The sequence below is a fragment of the Homo sapiens genome, chromosome 2, assembly GCF_000001405.40.
Source record: "Homo sapiens chromosome 2, GRCh38.p14 Primary Assembly".
Lineage (NCBI taxonomy): Eukaryota > Metazoa > Chordata > Mammalia > Primates > Hominidae > Homo > Homo sapiens.
Window position 1 is genome coordinate 178,404,094 of NC_000002.12, and position 9,329 is coordinate 178,413,422.

General features: G+C 38.6%; 1 annotated feature.

The window, feature by feature from the left end:
- Window positions 285-464: an enhancer, noted in NCBI's record as "active region_16802". NCBI's record gives its function as "activates an Ori minimal core promoter by ATAC-STARR-seq in GM12878 lymphoblastoid cells {active_cell/tissue: GM12878}" and the evidence as "EXISTENCE:reporter gene assay evidence [ECO:0000049][PMID:35858748]".

A 9,329-nucleotide genomic window follows, 5' to 3' on the forward strand; every position in this document is an offset into this window, starting at 1 on the left:
CAAAGAAGTCAGTCTTGTCTCCTTTTCTGTGTATGCACCAGAAGTTATCAGCTTAGAGGGAAGGGGGAGGTGGCGAGAGAAGATTGAGAAAATGCTAAACACTTGAAATGACAAAGAAATGCCCCCACCCCCTTTGCCATATGTACTTAAGTAACTGGGAAGCAAATTGAAAATAGAGAGACATAATAGATGAAACTTTCATTTGCATAGTTTGTGATTATACAGTCACAGTTGCCATAAGTCAGTTTTCCTGCCCAATTATAAAATCATGCCAGAGAATTAATCTTTTATAAAAGTGCATATAGCCCCAGTTACATTAAACTATTGCTGGTGGTAGGCAGTGGTTTCTTGGTTTTGTTTTAGCTTGCTAAGTACAGAATTGGAGGATACGATGGGATAAACAACTGAATACGTGACAACAGTTTGTTGACTCAGACAGAAAGCCATCAGATGGCAAGGGTTGACCGTTGAAGGATGTGGGTTGGCCTGACTCAGAACTGCACGGCCTGTCTGGCAGCTGCTTGGCCAGGCAGCTGTGCAATGTGGACAGCTGTCTGCCTGAAGACCAGCCTGCTTCAACAGCACAGGTTCTGCTAACATACATGCTAACAGGGCTGTTTTCTCTTTAAAACAATGGGTTTGATGGGTTGGGAGGGAGTGAAAACTATAAAAATAAATCTCTGCCAGGAAGCTCTCAAGTCTCTTAACGAGGTCATCCATATAGCAAGTACTCTAAGGTATAAATAATGAAAGCTCAGTATTTCCTACTTATTCCTGAAATTGTCCATCATTTTTAAAGTTTACCAAGAGTAAACTTCCCAAATGTAACAGCTTAGTACTTTACCCTTCAAATTCAGATTTATAAAATTTTAGAAGAGAAATATAAGAATGAGAATTTTTCTTTCAAAGAAAATCAAACCACCTCACATTCAACCCTTCTCTTCCTTAAGATTCTCCTCCAAAATACTTAATTTTCTACTTCATTCTCAGAATTTTCTATATGTTAGCATAGTATTTTTTGGTTATTATTTTTTAAGCTGCTCATCTTCCCCAATTGCTTTATTATTATTATTATTTGAGACGGAGTCTCACTCTGTTGCCCAGGCCGGAGGGCAGTGGTGCGATCTCGGCTCATTGCAACCTCCGTCTCGTCTCGCGGGTTCAAGTGATTCTCCTGCCTCAGCCTCCCGAGTAGCTGGGATTACAGGCATGTGCCACCACGCCCACCTAATTTTGTGTTTTAGTAGAGATGGGGTTTCTCCATGTTGGTCAGGCTGGTCTCAAACTCCCGACCTCGGATGATCTGCCCGCCTCGGCCTCCCAAAATGCTAGGAGTAATAATTTAAATATGTTTTAACCCGTTGCAGTTATTATTTTTACTGATGCTTAAATTGTCTCCTCTTTGGCCAGTGGGAAACTTATTAATCAGCTCCTGAGCCTCTTGACACTGTGGTGCAGTGGTTCACACCTGTAATCCCAGCACTTTGGGAGACCAAGGAGGGCATATTGCTTGAGCCCAGGAATTGGAGACCAGCCTGGGCAATGTGGCAAAACCCTGTCTCTACAAAAAATACAAAAATTAGCTGGGTGCAGTGGCATGTGTCTCTAGTCTCAGCTACTTGGGAAACTGAGGCAGGAGGATCTCTTGAACCAGGGAGGTTGAGGTTGCTGGGAGCCAAGATCATGCCAGTGCACTCCAGCCTGGGGGACAAAGTGAGACTCTGTCTCTAAATAAATAAATAAATAAGCCAGCATGAGCTTATTAGAGATCTACATTTTACTTTTAGTTTAGAGACATGGTCTCACTCATATACTTAGCAGTATATGAGTAGATGCATACAATGAACAAGATTCTCACTTAACACATGATTAAATCTGAAAAAAAAAGAAAGTGAAAACCTTAACAATATCCTCTCTCTCTCTCACAGACCCTTGCAGGAGTCAATATAACTAAATACGTCCTAAAATTTCAAGGAGAGTAGCCATGGTTCTTGATGATAAGACAAAGTATGCTCAGACTGAGGGGCTGAGGACAGCCGGATCCTTCCAGTCGTGTGGGAGAAGCAGTTGATGCTACTGCTCAGCTACTTGGTGTGTCTGTTGTGCTGTGGTCTGTGCCTTGGCATGCAAGGTACATGAAGCAGGGTCAATGAAAATTGTGGAAAGTTATAGAGTACATAGAGGTTTAACAGTCTTATGGAAGAGTGTATAACAGTCCGTTCACTCTTGCTATAGTAATTCTAGTATTTATTGCATGGTGAAAGTCTACTACTGTTCATTTATTTTCTTGGTTGATAATAATTTTTTTTGTTGTTAACGAGACGGAGTCTTGCTCTGTCGCCAGGCTGGAGTGCAGTGGTGTGATTTCAGCTCACTGCAACATCCGCCTCCTGGGTTCAAGCGATTCCCCTGCCTCAGCCTCCCAAGCAGCTGGGACTACAGGCGAACGCCACCACACCCAGCTAATTTTTGTATTTTTAGTAGAGATGGAGTTTCTCCATGTTGGCCAGGCTGGTCTCAAACTCCTGACCTCAAGTGATCTTCCTGCCTCAGTCTCCCAAAGTGCTGGGATTATAGGCATGAGCCACAGCGCCCGGCCCGATAACAACTTTTTGTTTGTTGTAAGAAGCTAGCTTTTTAAAAAAGGACACATGTAATAAGAGATAGAGTACTGAATATTTGTTTTTTAAGAAAATTGATAGCTACTTGGGAGGCTGAGGCAGGAGAATCACTTGAACCCTGGAGGCGGAGGTTGCAGTGAGCCATTACACTCCAGCCTGGGCAACAAGAGCAAGACTCCGTCTCAAAAAAAAAGAAAAGAAAAAGGAAAAGAAAATTGATAAAGGATATGTAACTTGTACCAAGTGTTCATCAATGTTTACCATCCACTATTGGTCATTTCATCCATCATGAAATCAATGATGGGAAGTAGAGAAGACCACCCAAATGAGGGCAGAGGTTACTGACTCAGAGCTAGCTATAGCAAGAGAGTCAGCCTCCATCACTTGCATTTGGCAGAGACTCAAAGGCAGGAAAGAGAATAGTCAAGCTCTATATTTTAAGCAATTTCAGATATATTTGGTTTGGAAGTTGTTGGCAGGAAGAGATGCGGGTGGGCTAAGTGGAAGCAAGGCCTCTTAGGTGTTTGGTTTAGGGAGCATGTTTGACTTTCTCTGGTTGGTCCTGAGTTGGAAGAGGGGTTAAAAACAGGGAAGTTGGCAGCCATTGAACAAGTCCTGACTGTTCTGGACTGATTGTTGTAGGAGTTGTAATACGGTTTCCTGGACCGGTTACTGTAGAGCAAGCTTGCCCAACCAACGGCCTGTGGGCCACATGTGGCCCAGGACAGCTTTGAATGTGGCCCAACACAAATTCATAAACTTTTCTTAAAACGTTATGAGATTTATTTTACTTTTTTTTTTTTTTTTTTTTAGCTCATCAGATATCATTAGTGTTAGTGCATGTTGTGTGTGGCCCAACACAATTATTCTTCTTCCAGTGTGGCCCAGGGAAGCCAAAAGATTGGACACCCCTGCTGTAGAGGCTGTGGGTAAGAGTTCTATTGTCATATATGATGTGGCCTTGTCTGTTTGTATATTCAGTCTCTAACTTGAAAACCAGATTTAAATCTTGTGAATAAGCCATAGCATGTATTTGAAAAGTTAGTTGTTATTTTAAGAACTTCATGCCTAAAGATGGTGATTTGACACACAGAGCAGCAGAAGGGGCTTTGTTTTTTTGTTTTTTTTTGTTTTTGTTTTGTTTTGTTTTTTGAGACAGATTCTCACTCTGTCGCCCAGGCTGGAGTTCAGTGGTGAGATCTTGGCTCACTGCAACCTCCACCTCCAGGGCTCAAGCATTTCTCATGCCTCAGCCTCCTGAGTAGCCGGCACTACAGGCATGCACCACCATGACTGGCTGATTTTTTGTATTTTCAGTAGAGACAGGGTTTCACCATGTTGCCCAGGCTGGTCTCAAACTCCTGACCTCTGGTGATCTGCCTGCCTCAGCCTCCCAAAGCAGAAGGGACATTTTCATAGCATTCCGTGAAGCATGAGTTTCATTCAGTTCACATGTCTCTACTTCTAAATTACCTTTACTCATTTTTTAATCCAAGTTTCGTGTGTGTACATTAACATGAAGTAATAGCTGTTAGTGTGTTGGCTCCAAGAGCAGAACTTTGCAGATAGTTAAATAATGTCAATTTTATACCACTGGCATAAGATGCTTCAAATAGAAAATCAACTGAAGTAATTCCAAAAGTAGTTCAATTTTTTTCATCCAATTTATGAAATCAAAGTAAAACTTTTAGAAGTTAATTGTGTCGAAAATAAAATATCTGACACTATTTTGTGAACGTTACTAAAAATTCAGTTCAAAAGTTCAACTGTGCTGTGAAGATGCAAATGTCGGTGGGTATAGCATTGTGGTAAAAGCAATGTTCTTATTAAGAAAACTTCAAGGCAAAAATATACTAGATATAAAATAAGACAAAAATATGTATATACTAGATTTTGGCTACAGTATATATTATATAGTATAATATATATTATATATATTATATAGTATAATATATATTATATATATTATATAGTATAATATATATTATATATATTATATATATTTGGCTATAGTATATATATAGTATAATTCAAAACTGTGTTCAAACAGAGAAATCTTACCAATGAAAGTAGCTGTCACATTTAACAAATATTTATATAATTTCCAGTATACGTAATCAAATTACAAAATTTTTCTAGCAAAATTGATATTCAATTTTTAAAATCCCTGAAGTTTTCAGCATAGTTATATACCTTTTTTACTATCTATCATCAATTGAATTTTAAAATATTTGAGCCTTTGAAGTACTACTTTGTAAATCATCCTAAGTATCTTACAATGGTATTGAACTTTTATGTAACAAGTCCCCTAAATTTTGTACTTTGCACAAAATCAGTTAGAAATTGTTAATCTAAATATTCCATGAATAGCATGCTAAAAACTTCAGTTTTTGAAGCTTTTAATGAATTGCAATTAGTGAAAAACAAAACTTCCAAACAGGATAACACTACATTTTATTCCTTCACAGAAGACAGGAACTGAATAAATTAAATGATGAGGGCTCAAACAATGTAGACATAATCTTAAAATTTTCTAACTGGACTTTGGAATGTCGAGACTTACAAGAAGAATCTTTTGATCTAGTTCTTATTTTTAATTGCATAAATTTATATTCTTCATTCGAGTGGAATAAAATCAAGACCGCCCAATGGTTTTGCAGCATTTAAATTGACAAAACATTCAAAAGAATCTGGAGACAATTTATTTGACATATTTTGTCTTGTCAAAACTATTTGTTGCTTCAGGCGTTCTGACGAATGGCAAAAGGACAATTCTTGTGAAAATATTTAGGCTGAAATTTTACACATTTCACAACAAAAACTATTTTAGAATATCCTCCATTTAGCAGGATTTGCCCCAAATTTACCAAGTATTTCAGCACTTGCAGAGAGAGAGTAGTTTCTCAGTTAAAAATATTATTCTACTGTGAAGAAACAATTGAAGATGTAAACAATCACAAAATTATTAACCATAAAACACAATGTCAAAGAACACTGCAGGCAATTTTAAGAAGAAAATGAAAAATAATAAGACCAGACACGCACTTTGGAAAATGCCAGTGATACAATATTAGAGATACATCTAAGTAACTGATTAGTGGACACAAATATGTACCAAAAGTTATTATTCTGTTGAGTTTTTTTAATGTTCAGATAATCAATATGAATACATTTTTAAATTTGTTTTTAAATCCTTGTATATTCTTTTACGAATAAAACTTTCTAAATTTTCTAGATTTTTATTTTTTAAAAAAGAATTTTTTCTTTGAAAATTGAATACAATTGTTATAAGTCCACCAATATAATAACATGAATTTGTTGGTCAATAAATATTTTTTAAAATATAAAATTATAATGATGTTTAGCACCCCCTTCTCAAAAGTGTCCGGTTTGGACAGTAAGTCACACAATTAATCTACATATCTGTAGCCCCCTCTCTTTCTAAAATTAGGTTCCTTGAAAACTTCTATGGTCATCAGTTCTCCCAGGGTTTAGGTCCAACAAGAGGGTTTTTAAAGGATAAGAAACCTACAACTCAACAACAAAAAAGCAAACACTTTATTTAAAAATGGGCAAAGGACCTGAATAGACATTTACCCAAAGAAGATACACAAATGGCCAACAAGCACTTTAAAAGGTGCTCAACATCACTACATTGCATTACGGAAATGCAAATCAAAACCACGATGAGATGCCACATCACAGAGAGTAGGATGGCTACTATAAACAAACGAACAAACAGCACACAAGTGTCAATGAGATTGTGGAGAAATTGGAACCCTTGTGATCTACTGATGGCAATGTAAAATGGTGCACCTACTGTGGAAAAGAGTATGACAGTTTCCCAAAAAATTAAAATAGAATTACCATATGATCCAGCAATCTCACCTCTGGGTATATACCTACATCAGTTTCCTAGGGCTGCCATAACAGAAAACCATAGATTGAGTGACTTAACTGAAATTTATTTTCTCACAGCTCTGAAGACCGAAAGTTCAAGATCAAGGCATCAATCAGTAGGTGTGGTTTCTTCGTGGTCCCTCGGCCCATACAAGTATCTGGTGTCTCTCAGTGTGCCCAAATTTCCTCTTATAAGGACATCAGTCAGATTGAATTAGGGCCCACCCTAAGGACCTCATTTTAACTTAATTATCTCTATAAAGGCCCTGTCTCCAAATACAGTCACATTCTGAGATACTAGGGATTATGGCTTCAACATAGGAATTTTGTGGGGACATTCAGCCCATAACAATATCCAGAAGAATTGAAATCAGGGTCTTGAGAAGATATTTACACAGCCATATTCACAATAGCCAAAAGGTGGAAGGAAGTAATCCAAGTGTTCACTGACTGAAGAATAAACAAAATGTGGTATATACATAAAATGGAATATTATTCAGCCTTAAAAATGAAATAAATTCTGATGCATATACAACATGGATGAACCTTGAGGATATTATACTAAATGAAATAAGTCAGGTACAAAAAGACAAATAGTGTATGATTCCACTTATATGAGGTACCCAAAGTAGTTAAATTCATAGAAATAGAAAGTATAATAGAAAAGTGGTTTCCAGGAGATGGGAGGAGTAGAAAATGGGACATTAGTATTTAAAAGGTACATACACAGTTGCAATTTTGCAAGAGAAAGAGTTCTGGAGATTGGGTGCACAACAAAGTGAATGTACTTGACACTACTGAACTGTGCACCTAAAAATAGGATGGTATTTTTTTTTTTTTTTTTCGAGATGGAGTCTCACTCTGTCGCCCAGGCTGGAGTGCAACGGAGTAATATCAGCTCACTGCAACCTCCGCCTCCCGGGTTCTAGCCATTCTCCTGCCTCAGCCTCCTGAGTAGCTGGGACTATAGGTGAGCACCACCATGCCCAGCTAATTTTTGTATTTTTAGTAGAGATGGGGTTTCACCATGTTGGTCAGGCTGGTCTCGAACTCCTGACCTCATGATCTGCCCCCACCTTGGCCTCCTAAATTGCTGGGATTACAGGCATGAGCCACCATGCCCAGCCTAGGATGGTAAATTTTATGTTATGTGTACTTTACCACAAGTAAAATTTTTAAATAAAAAAATGACATCTATATCCATGTTGTACCATTGTTAATTTCCTTGTTTTGATATTGCACTATATTTATGTAAGATGTAACCACTGAAGGACTTGGTGAAAGGTACAGGGACATCTCCATACTACCTTTGCAACTTCCCGTGAATCTTTAATTAGTTTAGAGCAAAAAGTGTTAATTTCATGTTTGTGTTAAAAAAAAAAAAAAGGAAGTTATAGACTGCCAATCTCTTGGACCAGGATAATAGAACTTTATGAACACAGAGATTAAAGCCTATTTAACCACAGTTTGCCCATGATGGTAACTTTGATCAGAAAGAATCTCACAAGCTGGGACCCAACAGGACCAAGTAATCCATGTCATGATTATTACACGTTATCAGCCTTCCAGGGAAGTGGAATTTACAAGCTTTCCCTTTGGCATGGGGCCCAGGTGATGGCCTCCTATTGAGCAGAGTCCCCAGCAATAATTACCCTGCATGTCAAAGGCCTCATTTCCCCAAAACAGTAAACCATAAAATGTAGCCCATATTCTCTCCATGTATATCACTCAATATCACACCGTAGAGGCATATAACTGATAATATTGCCTCTGGCCCATGCCAAATTGCAAGTGGTAGATTTTTTTTTTCCTTCCGAATTAAGAAACACAAGATTTACCCCTTTTCTTGGAAAAGTGTTAAGAGTCTAGCACCCCCAATAACTAGGGTCTACAAATGTCTAAAAGTTATTAATCTTGGTCTGTCTTAACTACCAATTCTCTTAATTTGGGTAACCTCAATTTTGTTGTTGTTTTTTTTTTTTTGAGACAGAGTCTCGCGCTGTCGCCCAGGCTGGAGTGCAGTGGCGCCATCTGGGCTCACTGCAATCCCCGCCTCCCGGGTTCAAGCAATTCTCCTGCCTCAGCCTCCCTAGTAGCTGGGATTACATGTGTGCACCATCACACCCAGCTAGTTTTTGTATTTTTATTAGAGACGGGGTTTCATCATGTTGGCCAGGCTGGTCTCGAACTCCTAACCTCAGGTGATCCACCTGCCTCTGCTTCCCAAAGTGCTGAGATTACAGGCGTGAGACACTGCACCTGGCCTGGGTGACCTCAAATTTTTAAATGAAGGGATTGGAGGTAACATCTAGGATTTTATCTAGTTCTGTCTTCTATGATTCAAACCCCAAATTCTCCACTGCAATGACTGCTTCTGGAATAAATATTCCTGGTTGCCTGTCTCTGAAAAAAAGCTCTCACATAAGGCTAATGAGAGGCGAAACTAAGGCAGGATCTCTCCTTTCAAGACCACATAGTCAGGGTTGTTTAATAAGCACACAAAGTAGAGACATATTTACCCATTCACCATGAAAAAACACCCCTATAAAAGGCCCAATACCTGGGCTTAATAGCTTCATTTCTTGTGTGATCTTGCAGTGTACATCAAAAAATTAACAAATAACATCCAGTGACATGATCTTGGCTCACTACAACCTCCGCCTCCCGGGTTCAAGCGATTCTCCTGTCTCAGCCTCCCTAGTAGCTGGGATTACAGGCATGCACCACCACACCCGGCTAATTTTGTATTTTTAGTGGAGATGGGGTTTCTTTCTCCATATTGGTCAGGATGGTCTCTCTCGAACTACC